Source organism: Homo sapiens, chromosome 8, assembly GCF_000001405.40.
Source record: "Homo sapiens chromosome 8, GRCh38.p14 Primary Assembly".
NCBI classification, from domain to species: Eukaryota; Metazoa; Chordata; class Mammalia; order Primates; family Hominidae; genus Homo; species Homo sapiens.
In genome coordinates this window covers 127,625,511-127,647,771 of record NC_000008.11, presented here as the reverse complement: position 1 = coordinate 127,647,771, position 22,261 = coordinate 127,625,511, and the positions used below count along the sequence as shown (strand labels likewise).

Genomic DNA, 22,261 nt, shown 5'->3' with positions numbered 1-22,261 from the left:
ACCACAAGCTTTCTCATCCTATCTGTTCGTAGCCTGTGACTTTGTTTTGAAGCATGTTAAAGACACTACAGCTAAACTCATTTTCTGTTTCTCTGGATGACTTCCAAAGAGTAAATTTAAATGCACAGTTTATTTTTAATTTTTTAATTTTTTTTTCTTTTTAACCCCTGTCAGCTTCATTAGCACAGTTTTTAAATATACATATACAATATGCAAAGCAGAATGATCACAGGCTCTGGAATCTGGTGCACCTGGATTTGCGACACAGCACAGTTTTTCACCAGCTGGGCAACCTTGAGTCCCTTTCTGAGCCTCACTGATAAGAGGGTGGGGGGAGACAGTACTTGCAATAATAGGCAACATTGCTGTACAGTGGCCAATAAGTGCCTCATGAGTGGTAGTTACTGTAATTGAGGTTTCTCCTCTGACACCAACCTCATTACCCTGATTTGCTTCCACATGAGTAGAAATCATGGCTGTTCTGGCCTCTGCTTGTCATCTCAGCTGATGAACCATCTTTTTTTTTTTAAAAAAAAATTATAAATTGACAATTGATAATTGTGTAAATTTATGGAGCACAAAGTGATGTTATAATTTACGAATACAGTGTGGAATAATTAAATCAACTAGTTAACATATCCATCACCTCAAGAACTTAACATTATTTCGTAATGAGAACATTTGAAATTTACTCTGTGAATACTTTAGAAATGCTCAATACTACACACAAACTACCAACTACAGACAGTTCTTGACTACTTAGGTGAGACAAACAACTTTTTTGACTTTCTCATGATGCAAAAGCTATACGCACTCAGTAGAAACCATATTTTGAGTACCCATTCTATTTTTACTGCCAGTACAGTATATAATAAATTGTGTGAGATATTTAATACAATATTTTATTATAAAATAGGCCTTGTATTAGATGACTGTCCTCAACTATAGGCTAATGGAAGTGTTCTGAGTGCATTTCAGGTAGGTGAGGTGAAGTTATAATGTTCTGTAGGTTAAGTGTATTAAATGCTTTCGACTTAGGATATTTCCAACTTTCCGTGTTTACTGGGACATAACCCTATCGTACATTTAGGAATATCTGTATATTTACCTTGCTGTGCTTTAGGACTTAAAACAAAACAAAACAATGATTTTCCTTCTGTCTAACTGGATTTTTGTACCTTTTAACCATCACGCCTATCTCCCCATCCCTCGAAAAGCTCTTACTGCTTTTATTTCATTTTTGTCTTCCTCTTCCACTGTGCTCACCAGCAGGACAGATAACTGTGGCAGAGGCCTCCTGAGCTCGTTAGCTGAGCTCTCACATCTCTCTGGTCTTTTTGTCTCACACGTTTTCTGTTTCATCTGTGGCTTGCCTTTGCTGTCTGGCTGGGCAAATCCTCCCCGTGCCAGTGCTGACGTCGCAGTGCCCTTTTAAGAGGAGCACCCCGCTGGGTGCCAATGGCTCCTGATCTAAGCAGAGAGGGCTGAGCTGGGGGGAGCCAAGAGCTCCTTCCTGGGGCTGGGAGGAGCAGCTATTCTGGGAAACAAACGCTCCAGGCATCTCATTAGCATAATCTCAGGAATTAATGGCTTGATTGATGTTTCACGTTTCCCTGCAGTTTTCTATAAATGATAATACATTAAAAGGAGATGGAGGAAAGAAAACATGACACGACATATATTATTTAGGTGTTTGCAGAGAGGCTGACACACAAACACACACAATTTATCAACAGTCACTTTTTGCATGGTGTTCTGAGCCCCAAGCCTCCAAGATGTGGAATTAATTTCATAGCAGGTGATTTTAGACTATTTCACATGGGCCATCTGTCGCTTCTTCATTTAACTCTCTGCTGTTACAATAATTAATCATTTCAGGGACTGGCTTGGCCCAAGCCAGTCCACTCTGGCTGAGAGCTCCACAAAAGGGGGTAACGTTGGATTACTTGCTTTAAAGTGGTGTGCTCCTTTGAAGCAGGTATGTTCAATTTTTTTTCTTGTTCTCTTGTATCTGCTAACACCATTGGCTCAAGAGCTGGTGACTGCTCCAGAGTATTAGATTTTTGTTGCTTAATCTGTTCATCTTCTACATTTGCAATTGAAAAAAAAACAAGTTCAGAGAGGTTGCTTGAATTGTCTAGGCTCACACAGCCAACCTGAGGGAGCTGAGACCAGAACCCCTGGTCAATTTTTCATACCTTGGTCTTGCTGTCTTTTGTCTGAACGGGTTCTTCAGAGAAAGAAGAAAACTCACCAGGAATAAGAAGAAGGGAACCCTAGAAACCCTAGGGGTATCTCAGCGTAGGGTATTTGGGACATACTCAAATTAAATGCTACATGTCAACGATTTAATCATTTCAGAAATCAAAATGTAACCAGCTCTAAGATGGAATTAGTGCCAGAGGAAACGAAGAGACATGAGGCATTGGTCCACCATGCTTGATGAAACTGTGGAAGAGAAAAAACACCATGCTGCTTTTTAAATTGAGACGCATTCACCTGCCATCATTTATTGATGGACTTACTAATGACACAAATATTCTTTCATTGATTAATCAGTTCATGCCAACACTGGGCTGGATGCTAGAGGTACAGTGAAGTCCATGCACTCATGGGACGGATAATTTAGTCGAGGGACATAAAATGAAGAGTTAAACAAACAAATACAAATTGGCGTAAATGCTACCAAAGAAACAAACAAGGAGTGAAGATGGGGAAGGACTGGTGGCTGTTCCTCCATGTGTGTGTGGGTGAATATAGACCGGATGGTCACAGAAAGCCTCTTGAAGGGAACTGCACTTGAAATTGGACCCTGAAGGATAGGAGCTGACATGTGACCACAGCAGGAGGGCAATCCCAGGAGCTGGTGCTGCATCCACAATGGCCCTGGGGTGGGAAGGAAGATCAGCACCACAGAAATGGAGTCAGGGGCTCAAGAACCAGTAACGAAGGGGTAGAAGAGTAAGTGGGGCCACTGTAATCCTACAGGGGATTACACCTGTAATCCCAGCATTTTAGGAGGCCGAGGTGGGCGGATCGTCTGAGGTCAGGAGGTCGAGACCAGCCTGGCCAACATGGTGAAACCCCATCTCTACTAAAAATACAAAAATCAGCCCAACACGGTGGTGTGTGCCTGTAGTCCCAGCTACTCGGGAGGCTGAGGCAGGAGAATCACTTGAACCTGGGAAGTGGAGGTTGCAGTGAGCCAAGATCACGCCACTGCACTCCAGCCTGGACGACAGAGTGAGACTCCGTCTCAAAACAAAAAAAAAAAGAAGAGGTAAGTGGGAGGAAGATCATTGAAGGCCTCTCCAGGTCATGGTGAAAAGTCTGGATATGACTCATGGGAACCACGGGATGGATTTCACTGGGAAAACAGAGCCTGGTGTATACTTCATTTTCTCCTTTTTACAGATGAAGACACTGAGGTGCAGAGAAACTTGCTGAAGACGACATGATGATAGGTGGAGTAGCTGGATTTCGAATTTCTAACCTAGCCCTCTTCAATTTCAGAGTTCAATGCTCTAAACCAGGGGTCAGCAAACTGTGGCCTATAGACCAAGTCCAGACTACTGCCTATTTTTGTATAAACAAAGTGTCATTGGAGCACAGCCATTTCCATCCATTTGTGTCATGTCAGTGGCTGCTTTCCCACTACAAAGGCAGAATTGAGGAGCTGCAACAGACACTGTGTTAGGCAGAGCCCAAAATATTTACTATCTGGCCCTTTAGAGAGAAAGTTTATTGACCCCTGCACTAGCCTGTAGGCCTCAGGCAGGGAGGAATCATGTCTGCTTTGCTCCTGGTGTTTCCCCTGAGTCACTCAGTGATTGGTATTTAGCTAGTATCCCCTCAGCATCTGCTGAATAAATGAAGAATGGGAGGTGACTGCACAGAATTGAGGAATTAAAGAGTCAGAGATTGGGTGGCCAGGATTGGCAGGAGATAAGAAACACAGGCCGATGGGCATAGGCTCTGCTTGGAGTGCAGCAGGTAGACCCCTGCTTGGCTAGAAAGCAGCATGCAGAGGGGAGGGGCAGGGTGTCAGGTTAGAGAGACCACCTGGGGGTTGATTGAGAAGAGCCTTGAATGCCATCATCATGAAGTGCCCAAGACCTTTAAGTGGCTGAGTTAGCACTCACAGAGGGGATGGAGGAGACCTGCTTTCCCAAGATGAAGATTGTAATTGGTTATTGATGTCCTATTTGTATGCTAATGCTGCTTAATAAAATAGCTAAGCCATAATTAACGTTCCAGGTTTCTCTCTTCCTCAAAAAAAAGAGCCATGGAAAGGTCAATGGATTTCGTATAATAAATTATTAAATAACGGGAAACACAAGAAATCAGTTTCTGAGCTATAATCTTTTCAGGTTTTATTAACTATCATTTGTTACAAGCACTGACAATGTTTACATTTTGCTTCTGCCATCTTCTTGCCAGTTCCAGGAATTTTTGGAATCGGAATCAGTGTTGAGTGCAAAAATATATTGTTTGCCAGAGTTTACCTATTTGAAAATCAAGACAGGTTACCTCTGTGATCTGACTTCTCTCTTTGTGTCAATGTTTAGGCCAATGGTATGGCAGCACATTGGCAGATGTTATGGTAGATGGAAACTGTGATGAACAACACTATGATGCCAGTTACATTTAGTTGGTAATAACGAAAATATGCCAGGACCCTCTGTAGTTAAAATTCTTACTCCTGTCATGCAAATTCTGCCAGAGGGAAGACTAGCAAAAATTCAGCATGACATAGGGGTACCCATGAGCTTGGGCTCCGGGGTCAGACACTCTGCATTTGAATCACAGTCTCACTTTTCAGTAGCTGTGAATTTTGTCCTTGCTTCTTCCATGCCTCATTTTATTAAACTAGGAAACAGGGATGTCAGCAATGCTTACTGCATGGAGTTATGAAGACTAAATAAGAAAATGCATGTAAAGTGCATGTCAGAATGTTGGGCACACAGTAAATGTTCAATGAGTGTTGAAAGTGCTCAAGGACAATGGCCCATAAGAAGCCAAATGTATCAGTAAATTTGTTAGCTTTAAAGAGAACAGACACTGGGGTCTACTTGAGGGTGAAGGATGGGAGGAGGAAGAGGAGAAGGAAAGATAAATATTGAGTACTGGGCTTAATGCCTGGGGGATGAAATAATCTGTAAAACAAACCCCCATGACATGAGTTTACCTATGTAACAAACCTTCACGTGTACTTCTGCACGTAAAATAAAAGTTAAAACTATTGTTAGCTTTAAATTTTCTCTTCAACTGTCAATCAATTCATTGGTAGTGTACCTAGTCCTGTGCTATGTGTGTTGGGAAGATGCTAAAAGAATATTGGCCAAAGTCATCCTGGCTGCCAAATAATTTACAATTCTTGCTGTGAAATCACGTCAAAGGTCTCTGAAGCAATCAGAGGACAACCCAATGGAGTAGAACTCAAATGTTCATTTATTGGGTATCTACTAAGTATTAGGGACTAGGCTGGGTGGTGATAAAGAAATGAATCAGAAGAATGCAGCTTACAGTCTAGTGGTGTCTGTAGACAAAAACTTCAATAAAGGGCAATGGAGTCAACATTATAAGTGTTTCCTCAAACAGAAAAAATAAGGACCTAGTTCTACTAATGATAGGACTTCATCAAATTTCTGGCCTTAATTTCCTCATTTCAGGTTTCAACCAAAGACATAAAAGATATTTACCTGGCCTAAGGACTCACTCCCTAAGAATGTGTAATACTTGCACAGAATTCTTGTTCCATAGTCAAATGATCAAGGATACACTTCCAAAAAATACATTTACATAACAGAAGTCATAATCCCAGCATTTTAACATCCCTCTAATTCTTTGAATTCTTTTTTTCACCATCATATTTTCAAGTACAATTTTAAATGTAATTCCCATCAAATTTCACATATCGTTAGGACCGCAGTTGTACAGAATCAGATACTAGCAGTAATACCCAATTCAGAACATACTCTCATCATTTTGTGCCTGTGGATTTTTGTGTCCTGGGTTTTCCATTTTGTATTCAGCAATACACAAGCATTTTAATGTTGCTGCTTAGTTTTAATGGATATTTTTGGTATCATCATTGTTGTTGAATGTATGGGTTGTCTGGTTTCACACCTTGTCACATACTTTACATTACGGCTTATATTAAACTATGTATGTTTTCCCAAGTGTAAAGGTACTGTGGGAGTAGGCAGAGTCCCAGTAGGGAAAATATCAGATGTCACTGAGCTCTTCTCTTGGCCTTGGCCATGCAAAGAACATGTCAGAGTGGTGAGACTGGGTATTCCCCTCCTAGGATCCATGGCACCACTCTGCACGCTCTGATAAGCTTGACCAACCTTTTTTCATAATTATCAATGTTTTGCAAGTATTATCTATCCTTCTGTTTTTTGCTTCAATATTATCAAGTATATTCTAGGCATTGTATTTACATGATCTGTAGTGGCTGCCTAGTGTTATGCATCACACTGAGTGGATTTTGCTCATCAAACGTTTCCATTGTTAGGTAACAAATAATTTCACAGTGGACATCTTTAAGTCTGAAGCTTGTTGGTGTTTGATAAGGGCTAAGACATGAAACCTTTCTCTTTCTCTCACAAGATCTGATACAAATGAATGAGAGATGTTAAGGCCAGTTAGATACAGAATAAGGTATCAGGTATACCAATTTCCTAAAATTTTTTTTCTGAATTGAATTTCACATCTCTTATTGTTCAGTACAGACCAAACTGTCTCCCCAGATGGAGCATGGAGAAAGAAAATTAGCCCAACATATGTATGAGCATTCTTCTGTGGCTCCTTCTCCCAAATCCACTCATCAGCCAAATTCCTCCCTTCCCTCTGGGACTGCAGAGAAAAAGAGAGTATCTTCTGGGATGTGGAATTTCCCCTCATCAAAAGAAAACAGACGCTGGGAGATAAATGATACCCCTTGTAAAGCTTTTGGATTCATCCCCAGGAGGGTGATTCCTGAGTTAAAGGGGAAATACATTTTTATCGCATAGTGCCAAATTATTTTTCAAAAGAGCTATACCTATGTTGGCTTTTAAGCTGCCCAAATTTTAAATTATCCAACGTGCATAAATACCTGGGGAAGTGTATTTAGCATAATTGTATTTCAATAAGCATATGAAGTAGAAATTGTTGACTGTTCTCTAGTAGAGATTGCCAAAACTCAACTAACCAACCTGGGTATTAGCACCCTTAAACAGAGTAGGGGCCATCTGAGCTGAATCAGGCACCAGTTGGAAAGCATGAAATTACTGACTTTGTTTAAATCTAACTACAATTTATCTGTTGGAGAAGCATTGAAAGGTGACATTTGTCTTGGTGCATTTCCCTTTCATTTCCGGAGCCGGAGTTCATCAGTCATGCAGCTCAAGTGCATGATACATGCAGATGAATATTTATTATAGATGATGGAGTATCCTTCTGCCAACATAATACACTTCATTCACTGGGAAGGGAATTCAGGCAGATTCATGATAGACTACTTGTGTGACTGGAGGAGGCTTTCACCTCCCTTCAGGAGAAATCCATGGAGAATCTGCCATTTTGGTGCAAGGAGAATCCACTTGGGTAGTGTCCATGTAAAAATTGATTTTAAAACATCATGGCTCGAATTTAGTTAAGTAACTTTTATTTGGAAAAGACTTGCTATTTCAAAAATAATTCATTAGTGGTGATGAAAAAAACCAGCTTTATGCCTGAATTCAGCCAATAGTTTTGAAGCACGTTGGTTGTGGAATGCAATCTGTTTGAATCATGTTAAGTTCACTTGTGAAGATACAGAGTTTCCATGTGTTAGAAAAGGATCTTAAAATAAAGCGTGCATTTCCAACATTGATCTGATACTAGAGGTTAAGTGCTTCTTTCTTAGGAAATGCAAGATCAAAGACAATGAAATGACAGGAAAAAAAAATACTAGAGCATGATTTTCTTTTTTTTTAATTTAGAAGCCACTCCTTTTCCCAGGAGAGCTGAGCAGAGAAATCACTAGAAGAATAGCTTCCTTGTGCCCTTTAAGCTACCTTTTGTTTTCTTTTGATGACTGATGGGAATCTTGTTCATTAAAATTGTATGGATGCCTTCTCCTTTCCTCCCACTGTTTATTTACACATAAAAAATAGATGATTTCCAGGATCCAAACATCATGCCTGCTAAGGCTGCTGAAAACCTCCATGTAAACAGTCCTTTCTGCAGAAACATTGTGAGTTTCCTGAAATATACTACAGCGTATTCAAGTGGGTAAATTTGTGGAAGTGTAGACAAGGCTGACTATCTGAGGAAAACCAGTGTTACAATGGGCCTTTTTTGTTTTAACAAAGCAGAACCACCGTGCCTTCCCAGTCTCTAGACACATGCCTCTCTCATTGCATGCTGAATGGAAGTTACAGGAGGTGCAGTGAGTATGAGAGACTGAAACCAAAAGTACAGCCATCGAGGAAGATTAAACTCAACTTGACCTCCAAGGCTGATGGACGAATGATGATTAGAAAGAGGATATGCCTATCTAAATTGCACTCTATCTCTATTACAGTCTAACGACATTACTAAAATTGCTGTTTGATAATTCCTCAACGCGAAATGTGTCCACTTATCTCTGCCTATACAAACAATCATTGATTCAGCCTCTCAGTGTGAGTCTCACCAAATTATTACTGGCAGATGGTCAGACCATTGAATTTGGGTTTGAATCCAAATCACCTCTGTGTTTTTTTTTTTCTTTTTCTCTCTCTCTCTCCATTTCTCCTTTTCTCTTCCTGTCTCTCCAACAAATATTTAACACAGTTTAATACTGTGTTAAAGTGGTCCCGTTATTTAACACAGTTTCATTTCTGGCTGTACCACTTGCTCACTGGTGATCTTGACCAAGTCACTTAAAATTTTGGAATCTTGGTTTCTCCTACATAAAAGGAGAATGACATCTGCCTTGCTTGATTCACAGACTTTTTGAGAAGCATAAAAGTCACAGTATTTCATAGGGAGTCAAATGCTGTAGATACATGAAGATCCCCACTTGGGCTATAGTGTTCATTTATGAATTCATTGAGTACTCACTGTGTGCTAGGCACTGAGCTGGGTTCAGGGGATATGAAGATGAATAAAATGTATTCCCTGTGCTTCACATTTGTTGAGTTGAGGAGGGGTGACAGATGTATAAAGAAGTGTAGACAAGGACAGGTGTTGTGGGGAAGAGCATTTCATACAGAAAAAAGAGCATGTCAAGATCCAGATGCAGGATGGTGAATGACAACCACAGGGTCATCTTTCACCCTGCGAGCCATGAGCATTGCTGTGTTTGTTTGTCTGGACTCCTCCTGCACATCCCCAGAGGCTAAGCACCTCTATTCCTTATAACCTGGACCAGCCCAGGTTGGGCCTGCCTACATTATCTTACTGGATGCTGTTGCCCTTATAATTATGACATCATTGTGTAGCTGCTGCTGAGGGTAGAGGTGGAACAGAGAAAAAGAAAAGCAGTATGGGCATGAGAAAGGCTTGGGAGGGTGCTAACCCTCCTCTACTTGTGCCTTTTCCTTTTTTTTTTTTTTTTTTTTTTGAGACGGAGTCTCGCTCTTTCGCCCAGGCTGGACTGCAGTGGCGCTATCTTGGCTCACTGCAAGCTCCGCCTCCGGGTTCACGCCATTCTCCTGCCTCAACCTCCCGAGTAGCCGGGACTACAGGCGCCCGCTACCACGCCCGGCTAATTTTTTTTTGTATTTTTAGTAGAGACGGGGTTTCACCGTATTAGCCAGGATGGTCTCGACCTCCTGACCTTGTGATCCACCCGCCTCGGCCTCCCAAAGTGCTGGGATTACAGGCGTGAGCCACCGCGCCCGGCCTACTTGTGCCTTTTCCTAGTGATCTGGTGTTCTTGTGATGAATTGGATGTACCATGTGACAGGATCACTTCAGATGGTAGACTTACTAGAATCCTAGGAAAAAGAGGCACCTGCGGTAGCTTCTCAGGCTTCAGAGCTGGAGCTCTCCTTGGCCCCTGGACACAGTTCCTTGTAGCATAACAAGCAGAAGTGGAGTCAAACAAACCTGCTTGGAAGCGTAACTTGCACACTTACCATCTGTGTGATCTAGAGCAAGTTAGTTAAATACTTTAAGCCTCGACTTTCTTGTTTAGAAAATAGGAGTGATCATCACAGCAGTAATCTCCTGGGGTTGCTGGGTGAAAAATAGACATGAATTGCTCAGCACTGGCCTCCATACATAATAAGCACTTAGTACGTGGTTCTGTTTTAGAGATTGCTCGACTTCTGGATTTTGAGAGAATTAGCAGGGGAAAGAAAGAAAAATGGCTTCATCTTCCCCCATGGGTACCACTTGCTTCTTTCAGAGGGAGAAATGCTTTTTGTAGCAAGGCTGTAGTGAAGAGAGAGACCTGCTCCAGCTGTCATGCCAGCTGCTGCAAATGAAAATTTCCTGTAGGTGTTTATGTGCATCTTCCCAGCAGGTGTTTCCCAGGTATATTTCCTGGCTGGTGTGGTCTATAGGACTCTCTTTCCAGCTTGGCAGTCTGTGCTGTGTTTCAGTAACAACCCCAATCTCAGTGATTTAGATCCACAAAGGTTTATTTATTGCTTGTGCTATCTGTCCCTTGGAGGCTGGCAGGACTACTCAGATCATTTTGGTCACTCAAAGACCCAAGTGATAGAAGCTCTATCATGATGCATGGTTCCATGAATTTCAAGGCAGGAAAAGGAATATGGTAAAGCTTGCATTGGCTCTTTCTTTTTAAAAAGTTATTATTTATTAAATTAATATTTTTTTAATCAACAAATCATAACCATCTGCATTTAGGGGGTATAATGTGATGTTTGAGATACGTATAGAATGTAGAATGATTAAATCAAACTAATTAACATAGCCATAACCTTGTTTAACTATCATTTTTTATAGTGAAACATTTAAAATGTACTCTTAGGTATTTTGAAATATACAATACATTATTACCATCTACATTCAATAATGTGCCAAGTCCTGTACATTACCTTGCTAATCCTCACCCAAACCCTATTTGATAGGGAACTTTATCCTTATTTTATTGATGAGAAATCAAATGCAGATTTTCCCAGGATGACACAGGTAATAAATAGTAACGCTGAGACTTGACCTCAGGCCTCTCAGACTTCCCAATGCAGTGAGATTATGATTCTGTAACAATCACTTTATTTGCCTGTCTCTTCTACTAGCTGGGGGATGCTCTGAGGGTTTAGTCTGCATTTTATTCTTCATTTACTCCCAATGCTTAGCATCGTGTCTGGCACAGAGGAGGTGCCCAAGAGGGATTTGTTGAATGACTGAATGGTTAGTTGTGGCCAAAAATGGGGGGAACAAAAGGCATCAGGGGAATCAGGCAAAGGAGGCAGTGGTGCAGTGGTGAACTCTTTAGCATTGCTTTAAGATTAATGGAAACCTTGACATAGAGAGGCTGACACCATAGAAGGCATTTGATCATCTCATTTAACAGGTGGTGTAGACATTAATAGACTGAAGGGTTCAGAGCTGAAAAATCTTTCTGCTTTAGGTCAGCACCTCTCTCTTACTGCAAGTATCATGTCCGATTGTCACCTCCTGAAAAGTCAAGATTCTTGGCTCACAGAGATACCTAGAAAGACAGAGGCCACCTTCAGAGATATAGATATGGTTCCTTTGTTCCATGCCATCTGGACAGCATTGCCAACCCTGTGTGAACCATCAGCAATAACATCTCCTTGTGTGATGGCTTATTTTTCAGTAACTGAAAGTAAACAAACTGCAGCCGTATTTGGGGACACTACCTAGTCCTGTGACTTTGGGCAAACTAATTAATCTCTTTGGACCTCAGATTATTTTTCTGTTAAATAGGAGTACTGGTCTTCACAGTTACTTCCCAATATTGTTTTTGCCCACATTTTCTGATAGGACATGCAGACTGCATTTCTCAGTTTCTCTTGTAACTAGCGACTGTGTGGCCAACTTCAGGCCAGTGGTCTCTCAGAAGAGTCACATGGCAGTTCTAGGAGCCCTCCTGAGACTCAACGCCCATGCATCCTTCATTCCTCCTCCATCCTGAGCCAGGAATGTGGATGATGCCATCTTGGGCCATGATTTTGAGGCCAAAGACGGTGGATGACATGGAGCCTGTGTTCCTGACACCAGGAAGTGCCCTATCAGCCCTGGACCAATGGCCAGCATAATTTAGGAGAGAAATACCATTATCTTGTTTAGTTAGCTGTTGTTTTAGAGATTCCTGTTACTCACAGCTGAATCTCATTCTAACTAGTAGGCTACGTCAATGTTAAATGTTTTCTAAACTGGCCCAATCATAAGCGCAGCCTGAAATATTTATTCAAAACAGATTCCCAGGCTCCTCCGTGGAAGATTCCAAGTAAGTAGGTTGAGGGTGGGGCCCAGGAACCTATATTTTAAACAAATGCCCTAAAATCATTCTTATGACTAAACAAGTTTGAAAAACACTGACGCAGATAATATCTAACATCCCTTACCTTTTCTAAGCAGGAAAATGATATGTTTGTTTATTTATATATGTATATATGGATATATGGTTTATTTTTAATGTCTCCCTACAGCTATATGGAAAGTGTTTTAGAGGATCCAGGGTATGGGGATGGAGAGAGTAGTAAGTGCAGCTGCCTGTTGAGGTCCAGAAGAGAGAAGATAAGGTCTGAAAATCAGGTCAGAAGAGCTAGGAAAGTGAAGAGTAATCTCACATATCAGTCGGACTGGGTGACTAACTAGGTTAGGGATGGAAAGGAAAACTCTGGTTAACTCCCACGTCTCTGGGTTGGGTGACTGGGCAGAGTGATGCCCTTACCAAGACAGCAATGCAGGTGGAGAGGCAGGTTTGGGGAAGAAAATGAAGAGGCAGGTTTGGGATGCACCCAGTTTGAGGGTCCAATGGGTGGAGCTGTGCAGCACAGTCTAAGATTACAGATATCCCTTTCCTGGGCAGAGCTTGAGTGATGATGGTAGTAATACTTACAGAAAGTTAATGAGTTGGACGGTAAGGGTGTCATCCATCCACACCTCCTGATTCCAGCTGGGCCACTGGGTCTAATGTCCACTTTGAATCTAAACATTTCCCACCTTTAATAATGGACATTGGAGATAACAAAAGGTGGAAAGGTTGGAGGAGAGTGAGGGTTGAAAAATTACCTATTGGGAACAATGTTTATTATTTGCATGAGGGTTACACGAAAAGCCCAAACTTCACCCATATGCAATATGTGCATGTAAGAAACCTGCACTTGTACCCCCTAAATATAAAAAAATTTAAACATAATTTTAAAAATTAAAAAATTAAAATGCAAAATTTCCACTTGTTTTGTGGTCACTTTTTTTCTTCCCAACATAGAAATGAAAGAATCAAGTTATTCAATGGGCAGATACATTCATTCATTTGATCATTCATTTGTTCATCAAGGAATAGCGTCTAATATGTACTCAGAACTGAGAATAAAATGTTGAAAAAGATAGGCATGGCTCCTGCCTTCATGGAGCTTAGACTGATGGGTGAGTCTGACAAAAAAATAAAAATTAGCTGGATATGGTGCCATGTGCCTGTAGTTCCAGCTACTTGGGAGGCTGAGGTGAAAGGATTGCTTCAGTCCAGGATTTCGAGGCTACAGTGAGCTATGACTGCACCACTGCACTCCAGGTTGGGCCACAGAGTGAGATCCTATGCCAAAAAAAAAATGTAAAAATAAATAAAAATCTGAACTATGAGAAGTTCTACAAAGGAACCAAATTTTGTTGGGAAGCACATAGCGTAGTAGGATGAGTACAAGGTTTGGAAACAAAAGCATGCGCAGGAGGCTTGTGCTCTCATTCTCCAGCTTTGCAGTGTCTGCAAATCACAGCTGCAGTTTCTCATCTGTGAAATGGGGTGGTTATCAATTTCCATACCTCACAGTTGTTGTATAGTTTAGGCTAAGTGATGCTGTCCTAACAAACCACATCCACATCTCAGCGGTTTATAAGAACCACATTTATTTCTTATTCATGTTACTTGTTGGTTGGAGGCCAGCTATGACTCTGCTCCATGGTCTCGTCTCTTTGGAAGGAGCAGGTGGCATCTGGGCACGGGTATTCATGTGTCAGAAGAAAGCGAGAAATGGCAGAACTATGTGCCTCTTATTGGTTCTGCTTGGATGTGAAGCAGAGTTCTGCTTGCCATCCACTAACCAAAGACATTCCCATGATTCAGTTCAGGGTCACTGGTGAGGAGGGGGTGAAACTCTTTTCTTCCATTGAGAGGGCACCAGGAGAAGCACAATAGGACATGGCAACTTGTATTTTAGAAAACTTTCTACTGACATATAATAAACCTACAGAAAGGATATAAGAAACCTAAGATGGTAACAAATGTTTCTAAACAATAATATAACAGTCCAGGCACGGTGGCTCATGCCTGTAATCCAAGCACTTTGGGAGGCTGAGGCGGGCGGATCACGAGGTCAGGAGTTCGAGACCAGCCTGGTCAATATGGTGAAACCCCGTCTCTACTAAAAATACAAAAATTAGCTGGGTGGGGTGGCATGTGCCTGTAGTCCCAGCTACTTGGAAGGCTGAGGCAGAAGAATCGCTTGAACCCAGGAGGCAGAGACTGCAGTGAGCTGAGATCGTGCCACTGCACTCCAGCCTGGGTGATAGAGGAAGACACCGTCTCAGAAAAAAAAAAAAAAAAAAAAAAAAAGGCCAGGAACGGTGGCTCATGCCTGTAATCCCAGAACTTTGGGAGGCCAAGGTGGGCGGGTCACCTGAAGTTGGGAATTTGAGATCAGCCTGACCAACATGCAGAAACCCTGTCTCTACTAAAAATACAAGAAATTAGCTGGACGTGTTGGTGCATGCCTGTAATTCCAGCTACTCAGGAGGCTGAGGCAAGAGAATTGCCTGAATTCGGGAGGCAGAGGTTGTGGTGAGCCAAGATTGTGCCATTGCACTCCAGCCTGGGCAACAAGAGTGAAACTCCATCTCAAAAAAAAAAAAAATGCAATAATATAACAATCCACAGATGTGACAATCAATTTGGGTAAATGCGTTAATAAGCTTATGTAATATAAGGCTCACATGCAAACATCAAGAAGTAATTCTCTGATAATCTGCAGTTCCATTTAAAGAAACTACCCCAGGTGAAGACTCAATGTAGTGAATGATGTATCAGTCATTTGTCTGAAATGAGAGGGTGATCATGAGATTTGTGACAATGGCTGAAGGACGAAAAGGGAAAAAATAACTTATATTAACATCCCCATTTTTACTGATGGGGAAATCAAAACTCAAATATGTTATACAACTTCCTCAAGGTCACACAGATAGGATTTGAGCCAGGTTGGCTGACAAGAATCTGTATTCACAACCATCAGTCTCTGTAACAGCTGCAAGGCTGGAGTAAGGCTGCCTTAGAATTCAGCTCCTTCTTATGGCAGACATTCTAGAGAGAAGCAGGAGAGCTACTCTAAGACCCAAGCTCTCTCTCTCTCTGAGAGAACAGGGGAGGAGTTCCAGGGCTCCCTGAAACCCTTCTTATCCAGCTTCCTAGGTACCAAGGAACTGCTATCCCAAAGATCCAATGGGTAATTACTGAAGATGGTGAGGTTACCTCTATCGTTGCTAATGACTTGATGCAGTTTGCAGAGGGCATGGGGTCATGTTGCTGAAACTAGTCCCCCTTATCAAAGAGGAAGGCAGCACACATGGCCCTGGCCTCTTTGGGTGAGAACTCATGGGAACAGGGCTGCTTTTCCTCCTACAGTAGAGAAGGTGAGAATTGCCTGTCCTCCCAGTAACTCAGGCTGCTTGTGGAGACCCTGTAGCCTCCCACACTGATCCTCTGCCTGGAGACCTTCACCTACTCACTTTTTTGACTCCTGGATGAATTGTATTCTTTTTCCAAAGCCAGATTTAGATATCAGGAGTCTAAGGTATATTTACTTGTTCCAGGCACATCATTTTCATGTGTCACCAGAGTTGACTTGTCCATGATTGAGAAGCTTCCAAAGGAACAGCTTGTCGAAACTGTCAGCTCTTACCATTTTCTTTGTTTTTCTTCCTCCACTTCACTGTGGACCCAGTGGCATTTTCCAGGTTGAGAGAGGCTGTCTTACCGAGGGAAGGTCTGAATGGCACCAGGAGTGGTGAGAATCATAGGTGCTCATGAGATCTAGTTTGAAGACCACCGATTTGAATGCAAAGAAAATCTGGCATTATTTATTATTATTATTATTTTTTGAGATGAAGTTTCACTCTTTTTGCCTAGGCTGGAGTGCAATGGTGCAATCTCAGCTCACTGCAACCTCTGCCTCCTGGGTTCAAGCGATTCTTCTGCCTCAGCCTCCTGAGTAGCTGGGATTACAGGTATGTGCCACCATGCCTAGCTAATTTCACATCTTTAGTAGAGACGGGGTTTCTCCATGTTGGTCAGGCTGGTCTCGAACCCCCAACCTCAGGTGATCCACCCGCCTCGGCCTTCCAAACTGCTGAGATTATAGGCATGAGCCACTGCACCCGGCCTCACTCTGGTATTATTATATTTGTCATTCACTGAATATTTTATTATATAAGGCTCTGTGCTAAGAACTTAAGCTTTATCTCATTAAATCTTCACTGCGGCCTTGTAAAGTAGATACTGATGTTCCCATTTTATAGACGAAGGGACTGAGGATTATAATGTTTTTCTAATATCCCCAAGGCCACTCAGCTAATAACTAGCAGGCCTGGATTCAAATTCAGACGGGTGTGACATCAGAGTCCATTGTCATAACCCCATACAAGGCTGTTCTTCCTTTCCCCAGGTCATTGTGTTGTCCACAATTACTCACTTCCTGCCCCTTCCTTTTTTTTTTTTTCTTTCTTTTTTATTTATTTATTTATTTATTTATTTATTTATTTATTTATATTTTTATTGATCATTCTTGGGTGTTTCTCGCAGAGGGGGATTTGGCAGGGTCATAGGACAATAGTGGAGGGAAGGTCAGCAGATAAACAAGTGAACAAAGGTCTCTGGTTTTCCTAGGCAGAGGACCCTGCGGCCTTCCGCAGTGTTTGTGTCCCTGGGTACTTAAGATTAGGGAGTGGTGATGACTCTTAACGAGCATGCTGCCTTCAAGCATCTGTTTAACAAAGCACATCTTGCACCGCCCTTAATCCATTTAACCCTGAGCGGACACAGCACATGTTTCAGAGAGCACAGGGTTGGGGATAAGGTCACAGATCAACAGGATCCCAAGGCAGAAGAATTTTTCTTAGTACAGAACAAAATGAAAAGTCTCCCATGTCTACTTCTATCCACACAGACCCGGCAACCATCCGATTTCTCAATTTTTTCCCCACCCTTCCCGCCTTTCTATTCCACAAAACCGCCATTGTCATCATGGCCCATCCCCAATGAGCCGCTGGGCACACCTCCCAGACGGGGTCGTGGCCGGGCAGAGGGGCTCCTCACTTCCCAGTAGGGGCGGCCGGGCAGAAGCGCCCCTCACCTCCCGGATGGGGCGGCTGGCCGGGCGGGGGGCTGTCCCCCCCACCTCCCTCCCGGACGGGGCGGCTGGCCTGGCAGAGGGGTCCTCACTTCCCAGTAGGGGCGGCCGGGCAGAGGCGCCCCTCACCTCCCGGACGGCCTGTCCCTTCCTTTTAAGAGGACTACACGTGACCCCTTTCCCTGTAATGTCATGTGACTTGCAGTGTCTCCCATAGGAGGGAGGAGGATACAACTCCTGACTCACGGATGGACTTGGGGTTTGACCATGTGACTTGTGTTGGCCAGTGGACTGTGAGTAGATGAAACATACCCCGTGCCCAAGCAGAAGCCTTTAAGAGTCTTCATGAGTTTCTGCCTGCTTTCTTGCTCTTTCTGCCAAGAGAGTGCCACATTCCACAGAGGGGTGTTCCTCCAGGCTGGATCTCAGCATAAGACAGGTGGTGCAGATTCTACAGCTGCTGAGCTGCAGCCATCCACATGCAACATGAGCTAGAAAGAAATTGTTTTTTTAAGCCACTGGGATTTTGGCGCTCTTTGTTATTGCATCTAAATTGGGCTAATACATCAAAGGATATTTGGAAACATATGGTTCATGTAGATACTAATAATCTCAGGAAGATAGTCCTGAACTTGATTCTCATTTGTGTCACCATGGATGGGTTGATGACCATACCTGTGGAGATCAACTTAAGTAATTAGCTACAAAAACACTCAAGTCAACCATGACTTTTTATGTTAGTAGTTATTACCCCAGTGAGCACTGTTCTTGGTGATACGGAATTTAGTTCCACTACTTTATAAAGTCCATGGAGGGTAGGGACCGTGTTTGTTTTGCTCAAAACTATGTAGTGCATGCCACATAGTGGATACTCAATAATTACTTAATGAATGAATTATGTTGGGAGGGGTTTTGCAATGAAAAAGTGTTTTATGAGTGATTTTCTTTTTAATTTTTTTTTAGACAGAGTTTCGCTCTTGTTGCCCAGGCTGGAGTGCAACAGCACGATCTTGGCTCACTGCAACCTCTGCCACCCGGGTTCAAGCAATTCTCCTGCCTCAGCCTCCCAAAGTAGCTGAGATTACAAGCACCCACCACCACACCCAACTCTCTTTTTTTGTATTTTTAATAGAGATGGGGTTTCACTATGTTGGCCAGGCAGGTCTTGAACTCCTGACTTCAGGTGATCCACCCACCTTGGCCTCCCAAAGTGCTGAGATTACAAGCGTGAGCCACCACATCCAGCCTTGTGAGTGATTAAAATTTTAACCAGCTGAAATAAACCACTTACATACTTTAGGACTCCTCAGAGACTTCAGTGCATTGAAGCAAATTGTGACTCTCCGAGAGAGGGCAGGGCTAATAGGTCACAAAATTATCTGACCATGGAACTCTTTTCTTCCTAGGAACATCTCATAGAAACACATTCTGGAAAATGCTGGTTTGGGGAATGGAGAACACAGGCACTAGTGTTTTGCCTCATTTGCTACCTTGTCCCATGGAATAGGTCTCTAGTGGGGTCATGGTCTGCAGCTGACTGGAATGAGAATTAGGCTTAGAGTTGGCTGTTTACATTTCTGACCATTTCTTTCTGAGGTGAGCTTCTGTGTTAGCAGGAATATCACATTGCTAATTCATAACTCAATATCATTTTCTGTACAAAAGGAACATCTTCTCTGCCTATCTCATATTTTGGAAGAAAAAACAAATGAGACTGAGCAATAACAGAGGCACTTGAGGATAGGATCTGTGGCTTATTTGCTATATCCCTAGCACCTACTTGATGGGCTGGTAGGTGATAGAAATCAACATGCTTCCATGAGTGAATGAATGAATTCACAGCACTAGCCCACGGTGAGCAGAAGGATCTAGGTGGTATTGGGTCTGCATAGAGAAAGGCCAGCTACAGATGACCTGGTAACTCCTCCAAAAATCCAGCCAGTTTTTACCTAGATCTACCGTAAGCAACAATTCCTTTGTGCTACTTAGGAGAAGAGTGAGTCTGGCAAGTAAAAAGTCACAAGGGAATTGCAGATGTCACTGGGTTGTCAACTTCATTCATTCCTCACTCTTTTCCTTTGTGAAGAAAGCTCTGATTTTGTTCACTCTCCACCGAAGCCTTGTGTTTCTGGAGGAAAGAAATAATTGGTCTCAGCCATCAAGGTGGTCTCATTCTCTTTGCTCAAGACTACTTTATGTATGGACATATGACACACTTCTGGCTCATAGGTATGAGGGGAATTGAGCTTGAATGACCGAGAAAGTGTTTTTCATCTCTAAAAGAGACATCAGAGAGGGGACGTGTCCCTATTCTCCTCATGTTCCCTTTGCTTCTGTTGTGTCTACATGTGATGCCTGAAACTGTGGCTACCATCTTGGAAACATAAGAAAAAACATTGCTAATGGGGAGGACAGAGTGGGACAATGAAAAGTGCAGGTTCTTTGAAGTGTTCATGGAGGTTCCAAATGAAGCCTCCACATCCCAAAGTTTCTTTTTCTGTGAGATAATGGTCTTTGCTGTTTAAACTGTTAGTTGGGTTTTCTATTACTTGGTGTTGAAGTTTCCTAACAAATACAAGATGACACAAAAATGAGCAACTTGTGGAGTCTACCCTCAAAGATCTCACAGCCTAGTTGCAACGGCAGCATGAAAATAATGCCAGCATGGTTTGATATGTACCTAAATCCAGGTATAAGCCAGGTGCTTCATGATGGCACAGGAGAATGATCTTGGTCTGCAATGGAGGGTTGGGGAAAGCTTCTCCGAGGAGGTGGCTTTTTGGGTGGAACTTTCAATGAGATGGGCTTTGCCATCCAGGTGGGGTGGGTTCAAAGGATCTGATAGGGCATTGCTTGATTAAGGCTTGTTTGGTTTGGCACATGTCTGGGTTGTAAAGGAGACAGATGAGACAGTGAGAACAAAGCAGGAGGAAATAGCCTGATGTAAAGGACACTGTGAAGGACATGTAGGAGGCACCATAAGGGAGGCTTGGGTGCATCAGGATTCAGGAGTAGGCTGATCTGACTCTCACCTCATGGATTCATGCACTCAATGTCATATCGATTGAATGTTTGTGGTGTGCCAGGCACTCAGCTAGAAGCTGAGGTTACAGGGTTGAGTGCTGGCCTGTAAGCTCCTGAGAGCCTGAAGCTGTTGTGGTCACCACTGAGACTCCTAGAAGCTGGCCTAGAGCTTAACACCCTGGGGACTCACATGTTTGTTGACCAAATACGTAACACAAATAGCATCCTTGCGCTCTTGGCTGTTGTGGATGGAGGAGGAGAGATAGGCATTTAACAAAAAGAGAAAGGTATCAATAAACACAATTTCGATGAAAACCAAATTCCATGGATACTCAACCAAGTCAGAAAAGATAATCCTGAAAAAGGGGCCAGTGAGGATTTTTTGTTGTTAACCTCTCTGGGCCTCAGTTTCCTTATTTGTAAGCTGGGGATAATAATTCTTATTTCCAGGGGATGTTGAGAGGTCAGAAATAATATATGTAAAGTTTCTAGCATGTAGTACATTCAATATTTTTTAATGCAGCTCAGGCAAATCCTCGGGAAAAGTCACTTATGTGGGGCCACACCTCATCTTGGTGTTCTCTTGCATATTAATTTGCCTGGACCAAAACCTACAGCTACTGCTTTTAATTTGTGTTGGCTGTTCACAACTCATTTCTTGACAATACTGGAAATATAAAGTATTATTATATTTCACGATGAAAAAAAAACCCTTCGTGAATTTGATTGATGTCAGAATCACTCCCTCCCTTTGCCCCCGGCGAAAAATGAGCCAACAACTAAGTATTTCTGTCACACACAGTCAAGAAGTGGATTAATGGATCAAAATGACCATTTAACAAGGATAAAGAAAACTCAATTTCAGAGAAGCAAATGCAGACGTGGGTGGGAAAGGTGGGTGGCTTGGGTTGCCTCTTTTTCCATTAAGATGTGGTTGGTTTTTATCATACCCACACATCTGGAGGCTCCTCAAGGGGCCAATCTGAGGGGCTGCAGAGTGGTGAGGCTACCTCATGCCAAGACCTTCTGGCAAGTTTTCCCTCCTAGACTCAGCTCAAGGCCACTTCTCTGTGTCCTCAAACCCAAACCACAAGGACCAACACTGGTGTGAAGCTCTAGGTGTAACTGCAGGGTTCTGTGATGAATGAGCTTGCTTCCAGAAAACAGTGGCTTGAAGCCCCCTGGGCTAAGCGCTAGCTACCTTGAAGGCTAAGGGCTATAGAGTTGAAAGAAAGAGAAAAGCATGTACTGCTGTTCTGGCTATTTATATGACATATGCTTTGTAATCCCATGTAGCAACTCTTCCATATCTACAGAGTTCCCATGTCCAGATGACCAAACTGAGGCTTAGAGAGGGTAATCACATTATTCAAGGTGATAAATCTATAAAGTGGCAAAGCTGAGATTTTTAACTTGCTATTTTTCTTTTGCCCTAGAAATCTGAGTGAAGAGATGAATTGTGGGCATCTTTCTCAAAATTTAATTTGAAAGCATGTCTAAAATATGTAGACCTGTGTTAGGTTATTTCTATGAATCCAACTGTCTGTGTGCTCCATGTGGATGAATGGTGGATTGCATCTGGGCTGCCTCCAGCTCTATCCCCAGTATCTTGTGCTGCACCCAACACAGAGGAGATTCTCAATCTAATGTATTGACTGAAGAATAAATGTGCTTCTTAGCTTTTGATTTCAAGAAGTAACTTATTAAAAAAAAAAAAAGAAAGA

General features: G+C 42.5%; 2 annotated features.

The window, feature by feature from the left end:
- Positions 923 to 1,422: an enhancer, noted in NCBI's record as "OCT4-NANOG-H3K4me1 hESC enhancer chr8:128658595-128659094 (GRCh37/hg19 assembly coordinates)". NCBI's record gives its function as "activates a minimal SCP1, AML or CMV promoter by ChIP-STARR-seq in naive H9 embryonic stem cells {active_cell/tissue: H9 hESC(naive)}" and the evidence as "EXISTENCE:reporter gene assay evidence [ECO:0000049][PMID:30033119]".
- Positions 1,423 to 1,924: an enhancer, noted in NCBI's record as "OCT4-NANOG-H3K4me1 hESC enhancer chr8:128658093-128658594 (GRCh37/hg19 assembly coordinates)". NCBI's record gives its function as "activates a minimal SCP1, AML or CMV promoter by ChIP-STARR-seq in naive H9 embryonic stem cells {active_cell/tissue: H9 hESC(naive)}" and the evidence as "EXISTENCE:reporter gene assay evidence [ECO:0000049][PMID:30033119]".